This window comes from Homo sapiens, chromosome 12 (genome assembly GCF_000001405.40).
Source record: "Homo sapiens chromosome 12, GRCh38.p14 Primary Assembly".
Lineage (NCBI taxonomy): Eukaryota > Metazoa > Chordata > Mammalia > Primates > Hominidae > Homo > Homo sapiens.
Genome location: NC_000012.12, coordinates 100,200,251 through 100,224,525, shown reverse-complemented (window position 1 = coordinate 100,224,525; position 24,275 = coordinate 100,200,251). Strand labels below are relative to the sequence as shown.

The 24,275-nt window shown below is 39.0% G+C and overlaps 1 protein-coding gene across 3 annotated transcripts, besides 5 other annotated features; it reads right to left on the bottom strand.

Moving 5' to 3' along the window:
* Positions 1–101: 101 nt before the first annotated feature.
* Positions 102–23,711, bottom strand: ACTR6 (actin related protein 6). 3 transcript variants are annotated; one of them, NR_048568.2, is made up of 11 exons: positions 23,466–23,711; positions 19,469–19,586; positions 18,782–18,850; positions 16,740–16,863; positions 14,318–14,453; positions 14,175–14,231; positions 12,172–12,270; positions 11,998–12,076; positions 5,940–6,111; positions 4,380–4,518; positions 102–740 (listed from the first exon to the last, which is right to left on the bottom strand). NR_048568.2 is itself a non-coding variant. In NM_022496.5 (11 exons), the coding sequence occupies exons 1-11, from the start codon at positions 23,672–23,674 to the stop codon at positions 611–613; spliced, it is 1,191 nt and encodes a 396-aa protein (NP_071941.1). In that variant the 5' UTR covers positions 23,675–23,711; the 3' UTR covers positions 102–610. The 3 variants fall into 3 exon arrangements, 1 of the variants encoding a protein (NP_071941.1); NR_048569.2 differs by having other exon boundaries at positions 18,769–18,850; positions 23,607–23,711; NM_022496.5 differs by having other exon boundaries at positions 23,607–23,711.
* Positions 21,230–21,915: an enhancer, noted in NCBI's record as "H3K4me1 hESC enhancer chr12:100596389-100597074 (GRCh37/hg19 assembly coordinates)". NCBI's record gives its function as "activates a minimal SCP1, AML or CMV promoter by ChIP-STARR-seq in primed H9 embryonic stem cells {active_cell/tissue: H9 hESC(primed)}" and the evidence as "EXISTENCE:reporter gene assay evidence [ECO:0000049][PMID:30033119]".
* Positions 21,539–21,598: an enhancer, noted in NCBI's record as "active region_6855". NCBI's record gives its function as "activates an Ori minimal core promoter by ATAC-STARR-seq in GM12878 lymphoblastoid cells {active_cell/tissue: GM12878}" and the evidence as "EXISTENCE:reporter gene assay evidence [ECO:0000049][PMID:35858748]".
* Positions 21,916–22,603: an enhancer, noted in NCBI's record as "H3K27ac-H3K4me1 hESC enhancer chr12:100595701-100596388 (GRCh37/hg19 assembly coordinates)". NCBI's record gives its function as "activates a minimal SCP1, AML or CMV promoter by ChIP-STARR-seq in primed H9 embryonic stem cells {active_cell/tissue: H9 hESC(primed)}" and the evidence as "EXISTENCE:reporter gene assay evidence [ECO:0000049][PMID:30033119]".
* Positions 23,448–23,647: an enhancer, noted in NCBI's record as "active region_6854". NCBI's record gives its function as "activates an Ori minimal core promoter by ATAC-STARR-seq in GM12878 lymphoblastoid cells {active_cell/tissue: GM12878}" and the evidence as "EXISTENCE:reporter gene assay evidence [ECO:0000049][PMID:35858748]".
* Positions 23,621–23,915: an enhancer, noted in NCBI's record as "tiled region #7946; HepG2 Activating DNase unmatched - State 1:Tss, and K562 Activating DNase unmatched - State 1:Tss". NCBI's record gives its function as "activates a minimal TATA promoter and a strong SV40 promoter by Sharpr-MPRA in HepG2 and K562 cells {active_cell/tissue: HepG2 | K562}" and the evidence as "EXISTENCE:reporter gene assay evidence [ECO:0000049][PMID:27701403]".

The window sequence follows — 24,275 nt, the reverse complement described above, 5'->3', positions numbered from 1 at the left end:
AAAAGTTCTTGAACAACCCTGAGTTAACTTCAAATCTCTTTTCATTCATCCTAAAAAAAATAGTACTTTTATGAGTGAAATAAGATATTCTGCCCACACAGTAGTGGCCAAAAAAACTTTATTAGCTTAGTCTCCACCCTTTTAAATGTACTCTAGGTACAAAATAAACATTATACACATATAAGATCAGTCTTTCCAACTTTAGAATGTATAAATAAGAATGACATTTTAAAATAAAATAGTTTAGTCACAGTCACACAAAACTACCTTCTAAGGAAAACTGTCCAGTGAAGCCGTTAAATTTGTGCTTTCAGCTATGAAGAATTAAACTTAAAATGCATTCATTCTTCTTTTAATGAAAAATAACCTACCCTTGGAAACAGCATAAGCATTGTTATGGTAGTCTAGCTCCTAAATGAAAATGTGGACTGAGTTACAGTTTACTGTAGTAACCTACCTAAGAAGCCTTTGAAAATTAGCAATCGATCAAAGTATTTACATAAATTCAAGCCTTTTTCTTAGGACAAAAGGTAACACAGTTCCTTAACCTCTTTTAAAAGGAACTTTGAAATTAAACCTTATGGTCACAACTTTCATTCAAAAATGTTGCTTAAATATCAAATTTCTCTTCACAGACGCTATGTCCATTTTCTTCGTAATCTTCTCTTGTTACCACCATATCTTCAAAATCATCATTCTCTGATATCAATTTTCCACCTTCCCAGGCATAAGTAATAGGGCTGAAAATAAAGGTATAAATGAACCCAGATGATTTTACAGGAAAACTGAAATGCCTGAAACATAAATTACTATTAGGTTGGTGCAAAAGTAATTTGTGTTTTTTTTGCCATTAAAATGTGGCAAGCTCTACCCAACCCAACAGAAAATTGTTTAAGGTACAGAAATAAGCATACATTTCATATGAGTAGAGCAACCCAAAAAGGAAAGGAACCTTGTTTACCGCTACAAAATAGTAAATGTTCCTTTTTCCCTATGTCCTGAATTTATGGACCCTCTAATTCTAAAGAAAAAACAAGGATATAAGCAAAAGATCAAAAGATGCCTAAAAGGAAAAACTGTCATACTGAGTCTAAATTCTGTATGTGGCAAAGATATGTCATCTCAATAATTCTCATAGCAACTCATAAAATAGCTATTACTCCCACTTTCTTTCTTTTTTTTTTTGAGACGGAGTCTCACTCTATCGCCCAGGCTGGAGTGCAGTGGCACGATCTCAGCTCACTGCAACCTCTGCCTCCCAGGTTCAAACGTTTCTCCTGCTTCAGCCTCCGAAGTAGCTGGGACTACAGGCACATGCCACCACACATGGCTAATTTTTTTTGTATTTTTAGTAGAGGTGGGGTTTCACCATGTTGGCCAGGCTGGTCTTGAACTCCTGACCTCAGGTGATCCACACACCTCGACCTCCCAAAGTGCTGGGATTATAGTTGTGAGCCACCACACCCAGCCTACTCCCACTTTCTAGATTTGAAAAATGAGGCTCAGAGAAGTTAAGTCTGGAACTAGAATTTAGGCTGGAACTAGGATTTAACTCAGAACTGTTTTCACAGTCTGTGCTTTTGCTGATAGACTTTGTTGCCTCTAATAAATGAAACAGAAAACATAGTGTATGATAAACAATTATGTGGGAAGACACAGACAATAGGTAAAATTAGAGCAGGTAAAACATCTAGTTTGGTTTTGCTATCTACAACCAAGGTTATACTATGTGTTATGACTCAATTCTGTTTCTACTATTCTTTTTCCCCAGTTTAGAGTTTCAAATCTGAAAAAGGTAAAGAAAAATGTTAAATCAATATTTTCTAGCCAAGTATGATGGCATATACCTGTAGTCCTAGCTACTTAGGAGGCTCAGGCAGGAGGATTGCTTGGACCCAGGAGTTCAAAGTTGCAGTGAGCTATGATCACACAAGTGACAGAGGGAGACTTTGTCTCTATTAAAACAAAGGTCGGTTATGGTGGCTCATACCTGTAATCCCAGCACTTTGGTAGGTCGAGGTGGGAGGACTGCTTGAGCCCAGGAGTTCAAGACCAGCCTGAGCAACATAGCAAGATCCCATCTCTACCAAAAATTTTAAAAATTAGCCAGGCATGGTGGCTCATGCATGCAGTCCCAGCTACATGGAAGGCTGTGGTGAAAGGATCACCTGAGTCCAGAGGTCAAGGGTGCAGTGAGCCGTGATCATACCACTGCACTCCAGCCTGGTAACAGAGCGAGACTGTGTCTCAAAAAAAAAAAAAAAAAAACCCAAAGCCAGGCGCAGTAGCTCACACCTGTAATCTAAGCACTTTGGGAGGCCAAGGCAGGCGGATCACAAGGTCAGGAGTTTGAGACCCGCCTGGCCAACATGGTGAAACCCCATCTCTACTAAAAATACAAAAATTAGCCAGGCATGATGGCATGTACCTGTAGTCCCAGCTATTCGGGAGGCTGAGGCAGGAGAATCGCTTGAACCTGGGAGGCGGAGGTTGTGGTGAGCCAAGACTGCGCCACTGCACTACAGCCTGAGCAACAGAGTGAGACTCCATCTCAAAAAATAAAAAAAAAATTGAAAAAAATTTTAAAAACCCCCCAAAACACAACTTGGCTGGGCTAAGGCAGATTACTGAGCCCAGGAGTTGGAGGCCAGCTTGGGTGAAACAGTGAGACTCCATCTCTACAGCAAAAAAAAAGGTTTTCTTTTCTTTCTTTTTTCCTTCTTTTTTTTTAGAGACGGGGTCAAACACTGTTGCCCAGGCTGGAGTGCAGTGACGCAATCCTAACTGACTGTAACCTCAAACTCCTGGACTCAAGCCATCTCCCTACCTTGGCCACCCAAAGTGGTAGAATTACAGGTGTGAGCCACCAAACCTGGCCAATAAATGTTTTATTGTATTTATATTTGCATTAAGCTTTTATAAAAATAGATTTATATATAAGTATACACATATATTTATACATATATAAAAGCAGTAGACGCACAATAAAAATTTATTTAATAAAATAATAAGACCTATTTCTGTGGATCCCTTGGCCTGTAATCTGTGCATGCAAGAGAAAAAGCCAATATGCTTTATAGTCTTAAGAACATATGAACATTAGTGGTGATAAAAATCATCCCAATATTTTTAAATTGTTTATTCATTTATCTCATAGCTATAAAAGAAAGTGATACCAATGAGGGCCTTCTATTAACTTGCTGATTTTGGAAAATTCTACTTTAGCTTTAAAACAAAACTCTAGAATTAAGAGTCAGGTATGTGGGGTCTTGTTTGCAACTCTGCCACTAACACTAGGGGTGAGTTTTTAGACATATACTTTGGGTAAGAAGTCCTCACTCAAGGTAAGAAAACTGGGTTTTAATCTGATCATTGCTATTAACTCACCATAGGGCATTTGCCAACTCATGAGCCCTTGTTTCTTTATTTACAAAATAAGAATATAGAATAGGATGATATATAAGCCCTTAGAGCTGTAAAATTCTACCTTCTTTTTTTGTTTTTTTTTTTTTGCCAGGGGGGTTTGTTTGTTTGTTTTTGAGACAGAGTCTTGCTTTGTCACCTAGGCTACCATACAGTGGTGCAATCTTAGCTCACACCAACCTCCACCTCCTGGGCTCAAATGATCCTCCTACCTCAGCCTCCTGAGTAGCTGGGACTACAGGTGCACACCAGCACATCCGGCTAATTTTTTGTAGAGACGGGGCTTCACCATGTTGCCCAGGCTGGTCTCAATCTCCTGAACTCAAGTGATCTGCCTGCCTCAGCCTCCCAAAGTGCTGGGATTACAGGCAAGAGCCACTGCGCCTGGCCCTACCTTAGTTTATTTTAACCACTGAAGTGGAAGTGATGATATGCACTTTTTCTCATATAACACTGTACAGGGTAGACATAAAACAGTTTTGAATTTTAAAAACCTCATTAATAAAAGTCATTTAAAGGAGAATTTAAAAAATTCTAAAACAATTTATGAATTGATAAAACTTATCACAATGGTTCAATTATTCAATTTCTATTCCTGACAGAAACTGTCAATAAATAATACATCTCAGATAAATCATATAGACAATAACCTGATTGCTTTGCCTATAAAAATCTCTTAGGACCAAGGCTGATTTACTACATGGGAGTAATCACCCCATATACTTAATTAAGCACCCATTGTGTATGAAACATTATGGCTGGCACTTTACATACTTCCATTTAATTTAGTGAAATGTAAGGTTTATCATTTCAATTTTTGAAAGAAGAAAAATGAATATTCAGCAGGTGAAATGAACCTGCCACCGTGGGAGAGCCAGGTTTTAAACTCAAGTCAACAGACCACCTTTTCTACATGTGGACTTCCATGTTTCGTTTCTATATAAAACAACACTTACTTTTCAGGCAGCACAACAGAAACATCATAATCTGTTGGAGTAAGACATCGAACTTCTGAGTAAACCCGATCCCTAAATCCTGGGAAAAGGGAATTTCCTCCTGTCAAGACAATGTTCTTAAAAAAATGCGGCTGCATTTCTTTAAAAGAAGAAAAGGAGAAGGAAAGGAAAAAAGGCATTAGAAAATCTGTTTACTTTTCTGGAAAGATGTGGATGAGGGATCAGATAAGAAGCAATTAGGGATTACAGTTACTGGTGGGAAACCAAATAAATTTTCAGGTCCATTCTAAGATTTGTAATGAGGTTACAGTTTATACAAATAAAGACATGAAACAGTGAAAAATGACCACATAGATCTTTAAAAGAAAAACCTAAGGTGAGGGGGGTAAACTACTGGCTACTTACTATACACTCATGTAAGCCATATATAAATGAGTGACACTGTAGTAAAAAAAACAGTTGGTAATTATAATTATTCTTCTCTAAAATGGAAGGGGGGTGGTTCTTGCTGTAGGCTGAGACTGTGAGCTACCACAAGGATGAAAACGAGGTCTTTCATGACATTTGAACTTACAAGCCCAAATCTCCACATTATCTCATTGAGGCAAACATGTATGTTGTGCAATACTTACCTTTGATAGTTAAAAACACTCATAAACTATGTTTAAAGAAGGGATCTAAGTATGAACACTCATTAAAGTTACATGATAGCAAATGTTACTTAAAGCCTTCAAAACACCACTGGAAAATCCATCAGGAATTAACAGGTATGGGCCGTCCCACCTAATGTTTCTGTTCAGTAAAACAAGGGCAGAGTTTCCTTATATTGACCTCGAGTCTCACTCTGCCATGACCTTAAAGCAGTGTAGTACAAAATGTTGTACACATCATGACTGCAACTTTATATAAAATGTGAAATATGAAAATAGCTGTGAAATAATTATGTATGGACAGCATTATGTTTTTCTTTTTTTTTTTTTTTTTTTAATGAGAGGAAAGCACATGGCCTGTGCTAGATTTTCTCCAATGCCTACTTCTTGCAAACCAGGGAGATAGTAAAGTACCCTAAAACTCTGGAACATTATTTACTTAAGGCATGTTTCAGGAGAATCCAGAAATCACTATGAAGCACCATATTCCAATCTCTTTAAAATTAATCCTGTATGTTACTCTAAATATAGCAGAAAGAATAAGTCAGTCTACCAATAGCTGAAAACCATTAAATTGTTACATTATAAATTTATATTCTGTACAGATCTGGGTTAAATTAAAACTTTCCTAAAATGGATATGGCAATTTAATGCTCATGGAGAGATACATTTCTTCAAGTTTAAATGGACCATAATGATTTTTCCTCTATCGAATTTATAATCACAAAAAAAAACTTATAATCAAAGATGAATCAAGAATTATATAAATGCATTATGGGATCTACAAATCTCTGCAAATAAAACAGACTCACCAATTTGCCTGAAATTATTTAGAGGAAACAGGGTTCACAGGGCTTATGATGTTTTTAAAACAATTATAATTCTTTAGTATTTTACTCTATTTATGTACCTTCAGGTAGATTTTGAATTGAATAGACAATAGCTTCTGGAATTCCCATTTCTTGAATGCCTATATCAGAAGGATTAAAGAGTATTTCCGGAACAGCAAATCTCTCATTGGCCAAACGAAGAATTTGTTCCCCAGATTTGTATTTTCCACTCAACACCATCTCTTCCCTTGGCTTAAAGACAAAGAAGATTAAAAGTTTAAGTTATATTATCTAGCTCACATGACTAATAATTAGTAATATGCAATTATATATGCAATAATATATTAATAATATATTAATAATGTTCTTGGAAGTTTCAGGATTCTCAAAATTTAGAAGAATGTGTGGCTGCCTTTACTGTTGCCAAAATCACACAAAACACAACTAAATAATTACTGACGCTAATATGGCTGTTCCTTCAAAGATAATTTGGCAGCTTTATTCCACACACTTTAAAATACAAAGAGGGCCAGGTGCCCTGGCTCACACCTGTAATCCCAGCACTTTGGGAGGTCAAGGCGGATGGATCACTTGAGCCCGGGAGTTCAAGACAGCCTGGGAAACATAGCGAGACCCCCGTCTCTTAAAAAACAAAACAAAAATTAAAATACAAAGAAAAAAAGGAGGAGAGACAAGAGAGAACTTCATAATATACCTATAATGGTACAATGATTCTAGTTTCTAGGGAACAAAGAACACATTCTAAATAAAAAACATTTACTATGTCTTGTGTTTCTAGTACTGTCTACTTTCACTCCCCTAATTTAGGTGTTTACTGGATATGTGGCTCTATTCTATTAGGATTCCCCCTTTCCCTTCTGGAAAGAGCCTACATCTCTACATTTCTTTAATATGTATTCAATCTCTATTCAAAATTAGTTTCCAAATGATGTAAGCAAGTCCATGGTCCTTATCCTTGAACTTACCTTATAATGCTAACTTTATATGAGGCCTATGTATAACAAACTTTAAACAACCATGACTCATATTTTCTTGTTATTTATTTTCTGCTAACCCACCCAATCTGTGAGCTGTAGTGCTGAGGGGGCTGCAAAAATAATCTCCTTCCACAATATTCTAAATCATTAAAATAATGGTCCCTCTCAATTTTACAACCATCAGCTTTCCTAGATTCAGGTAAAGACATTCATTTCATTTGACTTATAAATGCAGTTGTCCTCCCATAAAAGGATAGGTCCCTTAATATAATCAGCCATCTACTCTCTATTCAGATTTCAGCTTCCTGAGAGGTTTTCTCTGCTTCCCAAATAAAAAGATCCTTCACTATTCTCTATCACCCTATATTATCCTTCATAGCTTATATTGTTCACCATCACATATCCACTAACTATCATAAAAAAGTACCTGGCACACAGTAGATACTCCATGAATTCTTGAATAATAGTAAGCAAGACAGCAACATGTCATTCATTAAACATATTACATACATTATCCCACTGAACTCTCATATAACCCTGTAACACGGGCATATTTTCCTTTTAAATTAATGATGCAATTGGGCTCTGCAAGGCTACATTACTTGTTCAAGGTCATTCATATCATAATCCAAAGCACATACAAAATATTCCTTCCATGATACTACCACTCATAACCTGGATATAAATGGTTAGATTTTGATCATTTGGGAATTCCATGCTCAAAACATTATTCTAAAATAAAAAATATCCTGAAAATTATACAGTATTCACAAATACTCCAGGAAGAACAGAAAACTATAAATCACTTTTAACCCAGAAAACTATAAATCACTTTTAACCCAAAATATTGTTATATAGTAACAAAGAGAAGAATATTATGCCTCATAGAAGTATTCTTCCTTCTCAAGCAGAATGGAAAATATTTTCTATGAATTTACAAATTCATTAAATTCCAGCCATTCACTGACTTGAGTTTAAGGGATATAACTCATTTTATCAACATTCAAAATAACCTGAGATAGTTGCAGACTTAGGAATTTCAGTTGACAAAACATTAGAGGTTATCTAGTTTATAGCCCTGATTGACAGAAGAGGATCATGTGACTTATTCTAGATTAAATGACTAACTAGGGGAGAGAGCCAGAACTAGACATCCTTGTTAAATGTTAGCACTAAAGCCATTAACCATTAACAAGTAATCTGGAGGCTGGGCACACTGGCTCACGCCTATAACCCAGCACTTTGGAGGCCAAAGCGGGAGGATCACTTGGGCCCAGGAGTTGAGGCTAGCCTGGGCAACATAGATGAGCGTGGTACCTCGTCTCTACAAATAACTTTTTAAAAACTTAGTCAGGCTTGGTGGTGACCATCTGTGGTCCCAGCTACTTGGGAGGCTAAGGTGGGAGGATCACTTGAGCCTGAGAGGTCAAAGCTGCAGTGAGCTGTGATCACACCGCTGTGCTCCAGCCTGGGCTATAGAACGAGACTCCGTCTCAAACCAAACAAAAAGTTAGTTCCAGTACAATTAAAGAAATGATCAGTGTATGTTATACTGGCTCTGCAGAAAGTGGTAATCCATGATGAGGACGATTTTCTCAATTTAGGTCAGTCGAATTCATTATACATTAGTAGGCTTCCTCTTTCTGATAAGAAAGAAAACTGGAATTTCTATTGGTTGTTATCTGTAATGATATTACAGGCCTATTTTTATTGCTATTGTTACTACCATTAGTGCTAGAAAATCAAGTATGTAACTTCCCCCAGCTACTTAAAAATATTCTTGAAACTATCAAAATTCAAGTGTTAACAAAACCCTAGGAATAAAGGCTCTCAAATAAATATTTATTTTAATCAAGTATTAAAATCAAAACAATATAAAAAATTCCAATATATAAAATACAACTGTTTCTAAATCTTTAAAAAATTATTAAGATGATTTAACACAGACTCTGAATAAGGTGTACATTTTAACGAAATTGACAAAGATTAAACCATTCTTTCTACAATAAACATTTGCGGTAACACTGTATCATCTGCCAAAAGCCCAGTTCCAACTGACTTTGTCCACTCATCTGCTATTAAAATACACATTATATATGAGAATCAGCAACAGAGTGTATCCTGAGTAAATGAAGCCCACACAGTCCATAACCAGATTGTGTTCACAAGGTCAAAAGCCAATAAAAAACCTTATATGGCTTCTGCCTTTTCTAAAGATGAGTAAAGTAATGGTCAACTGGGAGAATAACCACACCTCTACTGGCTTATTGCATAAGGTACTCACTTGAGAAAACACGGCTTATGATTTGGCAAGGAAGAAACTGGCAGAGTTTAGAAGAAAATGTCCAATAAACAAATAGGTTGTAATTTGCAGGGAAGGAGAGTTTTTCTAAAAAGAAAGATTTCCTAGTTGACTATCCAATCATCTGGAAGAGGTTTTAAGTTTTCAAACTTATGAAACAGGCAATTCTAGGAAGAGGAACTGAGAACACGGATACAGGTTTTGTTTTGTTTTCAAGTGCCCCAAGAGATTCCAATGATCAGTCAGATTTGAGGAGACTGGAAATCACTGAGACTTTACTCAGATCCATCTCTGTAGAAATCAGGATTACTTTACCCCTATTAACCCTATAGAGTACCATAAAATTTCCACAAGGTATCAGCTATAAAATATGACAATAATCAAATGTGCCTAGTAAGAAAGAGGTTTGGTATTTAAATGTTTGGGGCAGTTTTTCTTGTCTTGTGAAGAAGAAAAAAAATACACCTTCCGTATCTTAGCCAGGACTTGGGCTTCCAGTTTCTCTCTACCTGATACATGCCCAGGCAACCTTATCCCATCATCTATCTCAATTCCCATTTCTGAAAGCCAGCCTAGGTCCTTTCATAAGGATCTGTTTCACTTTTTGTTTTTTGTTTCTTTTGTTTTTAAAGAGACAGGATCTGGCTCTGTTGCCCAGCTCTGGAGTGCAGTGAAATGATCATAGTTCACTGTAACCTCAAATTCATGGGCACAAGCAATCCTCCCAACTCGGCCTCCTGAGTAGCTAGAACTACAGGTGTGTGACACCATGCCCAGCTAATTTTAATTTTTTTTTTTTTTTTTGTAGAGACAGGGTCTCACTTTGTTGCTGAGGCTGGTCTCAAACAATCCTCCCACTTCAGCCTCCCAAAATGCTGGGATTATAGGTAGGTGTGTGCCACCACACACAGCCATAAGGATCTGTTTCTAAGAACATAAAAGGATGATTTCAGTTTTATAAGGCCCCAAGTAGTCTCTGAACTCTGATTCATACTTCACCTCAATAATCTGGCCCAAAAAAATTCACTTTTGTTTTCAGGCATACTAAGTATAAATAATTATATAAAACCCATGTATTCACCAACCAGCTTAATGTAACTTTACAGATAAGCTGACACTCCCCTAATTTGGTATTTTATCATTCACATACATAGTTTTTTATACTTTTACTTCATATTTAAGTATACCTTAATAACATATTATTATTCTCACCAAAAAGAGAACATAATTATTCTGCATAGACTAAAAGTGTACATAGCTTTCTAAAATGTGCTTTTCTGTGAAAATCAGATTTCTGAGATTTGTCCATGCTGTTTATATAAGCTCTACTTGATTTCTCTACTGCTTATTATTTTACTATACGAACATATCAAAAATTAATCTCCTTCCATTAGTGGATATTTAGGCAGGTCTCAATTTTTCATTATTTTAAAGTACACTGCAATGAATATTATCATAAATGTCTCCTTGCCCAAATGTGCTTATGTTTCTGACCAAAGATTTTTAACTTCCCAACAGTCCTCATCAAGCTGGTAACCAGAAATGCAAACTTCACATTTACCTAACCACAGAAGTAATTTTATCTGAGCTGATAAAAGATAAATAGAAATTATTTTGACATCCATGATAAACTGCTTCTCAACACTTTGAAATGCCATTGGATTTTGCCCTTTTCTAATCTAATCATACCAGACCAAACAGAAGTAGAATTTGGCCCTAGGTCAGCTATGTCAATAATTTTCACAATAGGAAAATAACCAATTTCTAACTCAATTTAAACTAATTTTTAAGTAAACAAAAATGGGTTAGCCATAATATACATAATGATACTGTTTATCTCCAGATTTGCCCTATGTGCTATCTTTTGGCTGATAGTTCTTTTTCTAAATAAATTTACTAAGAAATTTATTAATCAAATTTCACTTTTGCCGGGTGAAATGGCCAGCAGGAAGGTAGTAATCAACAACTCTCGAAGGCCCAAGGAGCTGTGGCTCACGCCTGTAATCCCAACACCTAGGAGCCAAGGCAGGAGGATCATTTGAGCCCAGGAGTTCAAGGTCAGCCTAGGCAACACTGTAGGACCCCACCTCTACAAAAAATACAAATATGAACCAGGCGTGGTGGCACATGCCTGCAATCACAGCAACTCTGGAGGCTGAGACAGGAAGATCACTTGGGCCTGGGAGGTAAAGGCTATAGTGAGTGCTGTGATCGCACCATTGCACTCTAGCCTGGATGACAGAGTGAGATGTTGTCTCAAAAAAAACCAAAAAAACAAAACAAACAAAAGAAAAGCAACTCTCTAAGGCCCTGCCAATGCCAGCTGGATGTGAAATTCTTTTTTTTTTTTTTTTTTTTTTGAGACAGAGTCTCGCTGTGTTGCCCAGGCTGGAGTGCAATAGTGTGATCTCAGCTCACTGCAACCTCCACCTCCCAGGTTCAAGTGATTCTCCTGCCTCAGCCTCCCAAGTAGCTGGGACTACAGGCACCTGCCACCACACCTGGCTAATTTTTTTTGTATTTTTAGTAGAGACGGGGTTTCAGTATGTTGGCCAGGCTGGTTTTGAACTCCTGACCTAGTGATCCACCTGCCTCAGCCTCCCAAAGTGCTGGGATTACAGGTGTGAGCCACGGTGGCTGGCCTAAATGAAATTCTTTTCAAATCTAACTGAGGTGATCACTTGAAATATCACTGATTTTTTTTTTAATTTTATAATAGAGACAGGGGCTTGCTTTGTTGCCCAGGCCAGTCTCTTAACTCCCATCTTAGCCTCCCCAAGTGCTGGGATTATAGACAGGAGCCGCAGCAACCAACCATTGATGGTTTTTAAAAATTACCTTACAAAAGCCCTTTTTAATTGTACTGAAGTCAGGCAAGACATAGTCTATCATTACTGTATTTTCTTCTCCTTTCAACCTGGAAAACAAAATTGAGATTTATGAAACATTCTAATTATGTGTAACATCCCCTAACAATCTACTTTCCAATTCTTAGATTGTCATTATACATACTTTGCAATATCCATGTCTCTATAAAAATCCTGAGACACATAGCATACATCTTCTTTCACTTGATTAATCACATGTGTTTCATCCATAACATGTAGCTGCCTAACAGAAATAAAAGTTGTAAAATTTGAAGCAAAACAATTAAACATAATTTATAATTATCTGAAATTTTTTTCTGGAATTAAATTTTCAGGTAACTGATTTTTTGAAATTTTAAATTCTTGAATGTGTAAAATAATTTTAACTTTATGGAATACTGTCACTTCCATTAATTTCCACACTATTCCTCTGAGGGTAGGTATTAGTCTAGTTTATAGGTAAGGAAACTGAAAACAAAGATGTTAAGTGGGGTTTATCTAACTAAAGATCAAACATTCCCCCGCAAACCATTCTGAATAGAATCTTGCTACAATGCCTTAACTCTATGCACTTTCTTTTCTGATTATATTAAGTATTGCTGAGTCAGCACACAGTACCAAGCACATACAAGCTGTTCAATAAATGTTTGACTGAGGGTGAAGCTTAAACATTGGCTTACTATAGAAATAAAGATGTTTAAAAATAAACAAAAACTTTTCCACCTCCCAAAGTGCTGGGATTACAGATGCGAGCCACTGCACCTGGCCATAATTATTTTTAATGAAAAAATGGCTAAATGTATGGCATGACTGGGTGTGGCCATCCCAGTATTCATTCTCCCACCAGTATCTTTAAAACATATATATATATATATTTTAAGCTGACATGTAATAATTGTACATATTTCTCAGGTACACAGTGATGTTTTGCTGGGAGCTGTGGCTACGCCTGTAATCCCAGCACTTTGGAAGGCTGAGGCAGGAGGACAGCTTAAACCCACGAGTTTAAGGCCAGCTTGGGCAACATAGTGAGAACCTGTTTCTACAAAAAAATACAAAAATTAGCCAGGTGTGGTAGCACATGCCTGTGGTCCCAGCTACTTGGGAGGCTGAGGCAGGATAATTTCTTGAGCCAAGGAGTTGAGGATGCAGTGAGTAATGAACAAACCACTGCACTCCAGCCTGGGTGACAAAGACCCTGTCTCAAAATCAAAAAGAAACCCACACAGTGCATCAGATCAGGATAACTAGAATATTCATCATCTTCAACACTTATCCATTTTTGTGTATTGGTAACACTCAATATCCTCCTTCTAGTTATCTGAGACTGTAACATTCTTGCCAAGCTCAGGGGCGCGAAGTGCAGGTCAGTAATCCCAGCTACTAAGGGAGGCTGAAATGGGAGATCTTTTGAGCCCAGGAGTTTGAGACCAGCATGGGCAACACTGTGAGACCCTGCCTCAAATAACAATAATAGTAATAATAAAATTGTAAAAAGAAAACAAACAAAAAGAAACTAACATTCTTCAGATAACAAACATATAGCGATGGAAAGCCAATTAGTAGTTGCCAGGGGTCAGCGACACAGTCAGGGAGCAAATACAAAGGAGTAGGGCACATAGGGGAGCAAAGGGATCCTGATGGTATGATACCATCCAAAGTTAATGTAACAAGAAATTGAGATTTAAGAATTCTACTTATGTGTTAAACACAATAAAATTAAAAATAGTAGCATAAGTTATGTTAATGTACAACATTTACAATTTTTTTTTTTTTTTGAGAGAGAGAGAGTCTCACTTTGTCACCCAGGCTGGAGTGAAGTGGCGCGATCTCGGCTCACTGCAACCTCCACCTCCTGGTTCAAATGATTCTCATGCCTCAGCCTCCCGAGTAGCTGGGATTACAGGTGTGTACCACCACACCTGGCTAATTTTTGTATTTTTAGTAGAAGTGGGGTTTCACCAGGTTGCCCAGGCTGGTCTCGAACTCCTGGCCTCAAGTGATGCACCCACCTCGGCCTCCCAATGTGCTGGGATTACAGGCGTGAGTCACAATGACTGGCCTTAAAAGTAAGGAATAATCTTAAATTACTGTAAAAGGTTCCTCCCCAGAGCCCCATCCTCCCAAAGAATCAAAGCTAAGCATCACCTGTAAGATATGATCTCCTTTAGATGATTGGTTAAGAGTTTTCCTCCCACATTTATCCTGCAAGGGGAGAACTCAAATTTAATTATCGCACATATCATTCTGTTTAATCTTTAGAAACAACATGAAAATTAAATACAACTCACCGAATAATTGCTTCTTTTTTCTTTTTACTTCTACAATAAGGAACTATATGTGTAAAGGAATATCCACTATCAACAATGATACAGCATAATTCGGAAGGATTATCTCGGAAATACCTATGTGCACTGAGAGCCCCAGCTATTTAAAAAAAGATAAAAAAGTGAACAAAAATATAACACTAATTTAAAGCAATTAAAAAGGTAGGAAACAAAGACAAGCACCAAGACAAAAATGTTCCCTTTATTACAAGAAAAATGTTAATTTATAATACTATTCATAACTGTCAAAAGATCTTTATTGTGTTTATACTTTAAAACACCACACTTACATGGTAAACATAATAAAAATTTGGTATCCGTTTTTAAAGGTAAATATTCACTCCATAGTTTAAAAGAATTACTACAACAGCAGCTCATTTTTACTGATCATTTATTACATGCCAGACTCTATTCTAAAATCTGTATAATGAGTGTGTGTGTTAATACTCAAAACAATTCCATTTTACAGATAAGGAACCTGAAGCTCAGAGAAGTAAAGTAATGTGCTCAAAGCCACACAGTTAGGAAGTACCAGAGCCAGGATTCAAACCTAGGCAGTAGGTTGAGACCTCAGAACTATTGACATTGGGGGTTGGATAACTCCTTGTTGTAGAGGGCTTTCCTATGCGTTGTAGGATGTTTAACAGCATCTTGGCCTCTACCCATGAGATGCCAGTAGCACCTTCCCGGTGGTAATGATCATGGCACACTGCAACCTCCACCTCCCGGGCTCAAGTGATCCTCTTGCCTCAGCCTCTCCAGTAGCTGGGACTGTACACATGCACCACCATGCCTGGTTAATTTTTTAATTTTCTTTTGTAGAGATGGAGTCTCACTATGTTGACCATCTAGCCTAAAGTGGTCCTGCTGCCTTGGCCTCCCAAAGTTCTGGGATTACAGGCATGAGCCACTACACCTGGTTGAGATTGTGCCCTTAACCACTGCCCATACTGCTGCTTATATGGACTTAAATTCTGAAAGTTAAATATTTAAATACTTTCATTGTACCCAACCATGTCATGTAATCTAAGCCTGTAATACACTTGCTTCTAGATGATATTTACAGATTGTTCTCCCTCACACTGGCAGCCTGAGCTACTAACATTATTTCAAACAATAAGAATTCGGCCTGGAGCCGTGGCTTATGCCAATAATCCCAGCACTATGGGAGGCCAAGGCGGGAAGATGACTTCAGTCCAGGAGTTCGAGACCAGCCTAGGCAACAAAATGAGACCCTGTCTCTACAAAAAATAAATAAATCAGCCAGATGTGGCAGCACATACCTGTGGTCCCAGCTACTTGGGAGGCTGAGGCGGGAGGATCCCTTGAGCCCAGGAGGTGGAGGCTACAGTGAGCCATGTTTGTGCCACCACACTCTAGCCTGGGCAACAGAGCAAGACCCTGACTTAACAAAAACAAACAAACAAACAATAATAATTGCAAACACATAAATGACAGGAAAGATAACTACCTCAGAATCTTTCAGAAATAAGAAATATGTGGCCAGTAACTTCATTAGAAGAAATATTAGTAAAAAGATAAAATGAGAGATGTCTGACTATATAATCTCTAAGGGTCCATTTAGTTTTAAGATTCCAAAACTTGCGCAGTGGCTCATGCCTGTAATCCCAGCATTTTGGGAGGGCAAGGCGGGTGGATCACTTGAGATCAGGAGTTCAAGACCAGCCTGACCAACATGGTTAAACTCCATCTCTACTAAAAATACAAAATTAGCCAGGCATGGTGGCGAACGCCTGTAATCCCAGCTACTTGGGAGGCTGAGGCAGGAGAATCGCTTGAACCCAGGAGGTGGAGGGTGAGCAGAGATTGCTCCATCACATGCCAACCTGGGCAACAAGACCAGAACCCCATCTCGGAAAAAAAAAAAAGAAAAAGAAAAATCCAAGACTTATTTCCTTCAAATCTAAAAAATGCCACATAGTATTCTGGAACTTTAAGAGTTTCTTTACTTGGTTCATATCCATATTCAAGCTTCACAGAATTCAATTTCTTTTTTTTTTGGAGACAGGATCTCACTCTGTCACCCAGGCTGGCACGATCATAGCTCACTGCGGCTTCAACCTCCCAGGCTCAAACGATCCTTCTGCCTCAGCTTCCTAAGTAGCTGGGACTACAGGTGCGTGTCACCATGCCCAACTAATTTTTCTATTTTTTTGTAGAGACAGGGTTTCACCATGCTGCCCAGGCTGATCTCAAATCCTAAACTCAAGTGATCTACTCGCCTCAGCCTCCCAAACTGATGGGGTTACAGGTGTTAGCCACTGTGCTAGCCAAGAATGCCACTTAATATTTTGGGACTTTATGAGTATTACCCTATTCATATCCATAGTCATATAACTCAATTTCAGTGAAAACTTGAACTCACCATTTACTCTTAATACTGCTTGAAACTGGTATTCTTCAAATAGAATTTCATTCATTGATTCTTGAATTGAAGTGAAGTTAAAGTATGGTTCAGTGATAATAATATTAGTATCTAAAAAATCAACCTATAGGAGAAAACATTCCAAAATGTTTCATAATTTGTAATGATAATTAACACTTGTTTTACATGTACAAACAAATTTATTTAATCCTCACAATAATCGTGATGTCTTATTACTATCCCCATTTAATAGATGAGCAAACTGAGGCACAGAAAAGTTAAATAAGTGACCAAGTTCATAGAGCTATTTAATGACATAGGTAAGATTTGAATCCAGGGAGTCTAGTTACAGAATCCATGTACTCAACTATTATGCAATTTTACTTCTGTTAGAGGTAGCATTAATAAAATGTTACCAGCCTGGCACAGTGGCTCATACCTGTAATCCCAGCACTTTGGGAGGCTGACGTGGAAGGATTGCTTGAGGCTAGGAATATGAGACCAGCCTGGGAAACACAGCAAGACCCCACCTCTACTAAAAAAATAATAATAATAATAAATAAAAATTAACAGGGCATGGCGGTGCATGCCTGTAGTCCTGGCTACTTAGAAGGATAAGGTAGGCTAATTGCTTCAGCCTGGGAAATTGAGGCTGCAGTGAGCCATGATTGTGCAACAGAGCAAGACTCTGTCTCTAAAAAATGAAAGAAAATGTTACCATAAAATTGTTTAAAGACAATTATAGAAACATTAATGAATGATACAACAAATATTGGGGCTGTTATGTTTCTAAATGAAAGGAAAACAAGGTCAGGCACGATGGCTCAGCTTGTAATCCCAGGACTTTGGGAGGCTGAGGCAGGCAGATCACCTGAGGTCAGGAGTTCCAGACCAGCCTGGCCAACACGGTGAAACCCCATCTCTACTAAAAATACAAAAAAAAAAAAAAAAAGAGCCAGGTGTGGTGGCGCATGCCTGTAATCCCAGCTACTCAGGAGGCCAAGGCAGGAGAATCACTTGAACCCAGGAGGCAGAGGTTGCAGTGAGCAGAGATCATGCCACTGCACTGCAGCCTGGGCAACAGAGCAAGACTCCCCCTAAAAAAAAAAAAGAAAAAAAAAAGGACAGAACAAGACAAAGACAAAACAAGAGAAGATGGGGCTGGTGCGGTAGCTCACGCTTGGGCGGATTGCTTGAGCCCAGGAGTTTGAGATCAGCCTGGGCAACATGGTGAAACCCCATGTCTATTAAAAAGAAAAGAAAATCATAATAAAAAAAAACTTGCAGATGTTTTATTTATGTATTTATTTATTTATTGAGACATAGTCTTACCCAGGCTGGAATCCAGTAGTGCAATCTCGGCTTACTGCAACCTCCACCTTCCAGGTTCAAGCAATTGTCCTGCCTCAGCCTCCCAAGTAGCTAGGACTACAGGTGTGTGCCAACATGCCTGACTAATTTTTGTATTTTTAGTAGAGACGGGGTTTCACCAGTTGGCCAGGCTGGTCTCAAACTCCCAACCTCAAGTGATCCACCCGCCTCAGCCTCCCAAAGTGCTGGGATTACAGGCATGAGCCACTGCGCTTGGCCTGCAGATGTTTTAAATTAAAAAAAAAAAGGCAAAGGGCAAGATGCTTAAGATATTCAAGTTTATGTAATTCTCTCACACACATTCTTGAGAAGTATTAAAACTTGAACATTTTCTCCTTATACCTATAATCACATTACAGACATTAAAAACACAAAATCCTCTTGTAATATTCATGTATTTAGATATGTAAGCAAAAACGTTTGTGAAAATTAAGATGATATAGTGAATTGATCTAATAATAGAAATCTGAAGTAAAATTTTGAGTTTCATACAGACTATCTTTACTCAACCTCTACTTCAACATGGAAATTTTATTCACTTGCATTTATTATTTATTTTAAATGTGCGGAGAACATTATTCATAAGTTTATAAATCTTAAAATGTAAATTCTAATTTTTCATTACAATTAAACATGGAAATAGAATTTTAATACATACTCTAATTTGTTACCTGATACATTTCTTTTCCAAAAAGGTAATCCCAAACTTGTCTCTGAACATCCCAATTCACCAAGTAGCCCTAAAAAATGTTTTTATAAATTTAATTATCAAGAACATTTGAATAATTTTTAAAAATCAGATTATAAATATTTGAATAATTTTTAAAAATCAGATTCCAAATCACTGATTTCTATCTATGGTTACCATTTCCAGTGTAATGCTGTATGAATTTCTTTTTTTTAATTTAAAAAAAAATTTTTTTATTATACTTTAAATTCTGGGATACATGTGCAGAACGTGCAGGTTTACTACATAGGTATACTGCTGTATGAATTTCAAACCAATTATGTTAGTATGTTTTTCTCCTTTAAAAAGTTAAAAAACAAACTCACAAATAAGCAATAACTAAAATGTCAGAGGTTCAAAAGACACACCAATATATACAGTTGCCTCCCTATACTTATTTTCTTAAATTAATGTGTGCATACCACTTAGATTTAATGTAAGTAAAAATCAGTACTCACAATAAGTAACTAAATCATGGTCGTTTATTTTTACCCAAACAATTAAATTTTAATTTGGGTTTAATTAGGTTGTAGTTAAAATTTAAGTTACACACAGCCTTTTATATACAATTAAAATTATCTTTAAATTTAGGTCTACAATGCTAGAAATGAAACATAATTAATTGGATTACCTTTTGAAAAGGGAGGATGTAAAAGAGTCCAGAAGGGTCTTTTATTTCATCTATCTGGTTGGCAGTAAAAGTTTTAAGACGTGCTGTTTTTGACCGGAACTGACAATTAGGAATAACCCTAGAAACAAGGAAACAAATAATTATCCCCTAAATATTTAGTTCCTAAAAACATTTTTACTTCACCACCACTCTTGATGCCAAAAGATTAGCGTATCCTAAGATTGGTATATCCAGTGTTTCTCATTCTGTCTTAAAATAATACCAAAGGCTGGGAGTGGGGGCTCATGCCTATAATCCCAGCACTTTGGGAGCAGGATGATTGCTTGAGACCAGGAGTTCAAGACCAGCCTAGACAACATAGCCAGAACCTGTCTCTACAAAAATAAAAAATAAGGCTGGGCATGGTGGCTCACGCCTGTAATCCCAGCACTTTGGGAGGCAAAGGCGGATGGATCACTTGAGGTCAGGAGTTCGAGACCAGCCTGGCCAACAGGGTGAAACCCTACCTCTACTAAAAAAAAACACAAAAATTAGCCAGGCATGGTGGCACATGCCTGTAGTCCCAGCCACTAAGGAGGCTGAGGCATGAGAATCACTTGAACCTGAGAGATGGAGGTTGCAGTGGTCTGAGATTGCACCCCTGCACTCCAGCCTTGGTGATGGGGCAAAACTCAGTCTCAAAACTAATAATAAAATAAAACAGAAAGAGAAAAATACGAATCAGGCAGGCATGGTGATGAGCATCTATATTCCTATCTTCTAGAGGAAGGCTGAGGCAGGAGGATTGCTTAAACGCAGGAGTCTGCAGCTGCAATGAACTGTGATCCCACTACTGCATTCCAGCCTGGGTGGACAGAACAAGGCCCTGTCTCTATTTTAAAATAATAATAACACAAAAATGCCCCTCCCCCATTTTTTTTTAAAGTTCAGTATGTAACAAGTTCTATACTGGATCCTTTCTTTCTCTAATAATCCTCAAGAAATCCTTACAGGTAAGTATTGCTTCCGCCACTGCAGAGGCGAAAGCCAGTGCTTTGGTAAAGGTCCTAGTCTTTCTGGCTTTAACACAGAAAGTCTTAATACCATTTGGATTAAAGATTCACAAGTTAGGCCGGGCGCGGTGGCTCATGCCTGTAATCCCAGCACTTTGGGAGGCCGAGACAGGCAGATCACGAGGTCAGGAGATCGAGACCATCCTGGCTAACACGGTGAAACCCTGTCTCTACTAAAAATACAAAAAACTAGCCAGCCTGGTGGCGGGCGCCTGTAGTCCCAGCTACTTGGAAGGCTGAGGCAGGAGAATGGCGTGAACCCGGGAGGCAGAGCTTGCAGTGAGCCAAGATCACGCCACTGCATTCCAGCCTGGACGACAGAGCGAGACTCCGTCTCAAAAAAAAAAAAAAAAAAAAAAAGATTCACAAGTTAAAAATTATGGCCATAAAAATTAAGTTTCCAGCCGGGAGCAGTGGCTCACAGCATGTAATCCCAGCACTTTGGAAGGCGGAGGCGGGCGGATCATGAGGTCAGGAGTTTAAGACCAGCCTGGCCAACATGGTAAAACCCCATCTCTACTAAAAAATATAAAAATTAGCTGGGCATGGTGGTGCATGCCTGTAATCCCACCTACTGGGGAGGCTGAGGCAGGAGAATTGCTTGAACCCAGGAGGCGGAGGTTGCAGTGAGCAGAGATTGTGCCACTGCACTCCAGCCTGGGCGACAGAGCAAGACTCTGTCTCAAAAAAATAAAATAAATTAAGTTCCCATGAAGCCAAAGATCTTCAATCAGCAAGATGCTATAGGGCAGGGATCCCCAACCGCAGGGCTTGTGGTCCGGTACCTGTCTGTGGTCTGTTGGGAACCAAGCCTTCATAGCAAGAGGTGAGCACCAGGGTGGGGAAGGAGGGTGGGGCCGTAAGCATTAACACCTAAATTGCACTTCCTGTCAGATCAGCCATAGCATTAGATTCTCATAGGAGCAGGAACCCTATTTTGAACTGTGCATGCAAGGGATATAGTTTGTGCACTTTTTTTGTGAGAATCTAATACCTGAGAATAGTTTCATTTCAAAACCATCGCCCACACTCATACCCCCAACCACACGTTAAAATTGTCTTCCACGAAACCAGTCCTTGGTGCCAAAAAGGTTGGAGACTGCTGCTGCTACAGGGTACAGAAGTAGCAACTTTTTTTTTTTTTTTTTGAGACCGAGTCTCGCTTTGTCGCCCCAGGCTGGAGTGCAGTGGCGTGATCTCGGCTCACTGCAAGCTCCGCCTCCCAGGCCCACGCCATTCTCCCGCCTCAGCCTCCCAGGTAGCTGGGACTACAGGCGCCTGCCACTACGCCCGGCTAATTTTTGTATTTTTAGTAGAGACAGGGTTTCGCCGTGTTAGCCATGATGCTCTGGATCTCCTAACCTCGTGATCCACCCACCTGGGCCTCTTGCTGCTTGCCATGAGCTTACAATCTGGTTTGGAAGACAAACTAGAGCCATTATTAATTATACACACATGTATGCATACAAATGTGTCTGTATGTGTATACGAGATGACACTGGGATAATACTGTAAAAAAATGTTTTACACCTGCTTATTTCACTTATAATACTGTCAGCATTTTCTCTACATGTTTAAATGTTCTTTGAAGACATAATTTTAAGAAGCTTGAATTTGTTATCAGTCTCAGGTTGTATTTTGGTGTATTTAGCCAATATGCTATTCCTGATTATTTAGCTTCCTTCCCATTTTTTGGCTGCCTGTATACGATGACTATGAATAATACAAAGCACTTCTAATTAATTCTCTAGGTAATAACAGAATTGCTGTGTCATGGCCCGGTGCGGTGGCTCACACCTGTAATCCCAGCACTTTAGGAGGCTGAAGCAGGCAGATCACGAGGTCAGGAATTCCAGACCAGCATGGCCAAAATGGTGAAACCCCCGTCTCTACTAAAAATACAAAACTTAGCCAGGCGTGGTGGTGCGCAACTGTAGTCCCAGCTACTTGGGAGGCTGAGGCATGAGAATGGCTTGAACCCGGGAGGCAGAGGTTGCAGCGAGCCGAGATCGTGCCACTGCACTCCAGCCTGGACAAGAGAGCCAGACTCCCTCTCCAAAAAAAAAAAAAAAAATTGCTTTGTCAGCTGGGTGTAGGGCTCACGCCCCTAATACCAGCACTTTGGGAGGCCAACGCGGGTAGACTGCTTGAGGCCAGGGGCTCGAGACCGGCCTGGCCAACATGATGAAACCCCGTCTCTAACAAAAATACAAAAAATTCGCTGGGAGTGGTGGTGCACGCCTATAATCCCAGCTACTCTGGAGGCTGAGGCGGGAGAATCACTTGAATTCAGGCTGCAGTGAGCTGAGATCGCACCACGGCACTCCAGCCTCGGTGACAATGATAATGATACACATTGCCAAAACGTTTTCCAGAAAGATTGTAACAATTTACATTCCTACTCAGTTTGATTTCCCTCTTTCATTTCTGTTTCAAAAGAAATGAAAAAGAAGGAAAGGAGGGAGGAAGGAAAGAATTTTTTTTAATGCTCTGTTAATTTGATAAAGGAAAGGCGTGTCTTTAGGTTTGCTTATTTATTCAAACATATATTTTATGACTATACATGTTATGAATGCCATTGTATTAACAGTACTTCTGTTTAATTGACCTTACCAACTAGGTCGGCCAGTAGGCCAAAGTCTTCAAAGCCTCTAGATCCTAAGACCGTGATTTTTAGACTTTTGGAGGGTCATAGAACCCTTTGAGAATCTAATGAAACCTATAATCTTGTACCCAGGAAAATCCGCATACACCCAAACACCGTGCCCATAGTTTCCAAAGGCTGATGAACTTTACGGACCCTTCTGTCAGGAACGCATCTCTATAAGCCTATTTTCTTTGGCTATTTCCTGTTACGAAATAAAACATATATCCCACTTCCGGGGCCTCGCAGCCCAAAACTAAAACCAAAATCAATTTCAATTCAAAGCATCACAATCACCCACCCAGCTCCAACCAGGGAATCCCTCTGGCTAAGTCAGGGCCGCGCGGGGGTGTCTGCAGTTCATTGATGTCCGGAGATGAAACGTAGCACATGAAACCACTAGGCGTATATATCTTGTCCCTCGGAGAAAGAAAGTACTTACGACACATTTTCATGGCTGTAACCGATTTTGGCGTTGTAAGCTCCATTATCCAGCACTAAGGTCGTCATCTCACCACCAACCACACCGCAGCCGTAGTTGTTTTCCCTTTCCGACCCCTCTGCTCGAGCTTTTTCCGGTACTCTATGGTTTGTTGGGCGGAGCGTTAGGACGCGCCTCTGGTCACCTTAGCAACGGAGGACGCCGGAAGTCGGAGATGCTAAGCAGCACCGAATGTTAGGGGCTGTGCTTCCAAACTTAACCTGTTTATGTGGTGGCGAGATTTGACTACTATGTGCTTTCTCGCTCATTTCGTATTTGTTTTTAACTACGCAGATTAATTCGCGCAAGTTTTTTCTAATCCTGTAGAGAACCGGCTGCGTGTGTGTGTGTGTGTGTGTGTGTGTGTGTGTCTTCCAATCGCATTCTTCAGACGGTGACATTCTTTGAAGAAAAAAGTGCAAAACTTGCTCTTGGACTCACATTCATACTCTCCTCTTCCCCAGCCCACTTGCTCTTCAGGACGAAGCTGAGTGAGTCTTTCTCATCCAAAAAAGGCTTTTGGGCCGGACGCGGTGGCTCACGCCTGTAATCCCAGCACTTTAGGAGACCAAGGCAAGCAGATCACTTGAGGTCAGGAGCTTGAGACCAGCCTGACCAACACGGCGAAAC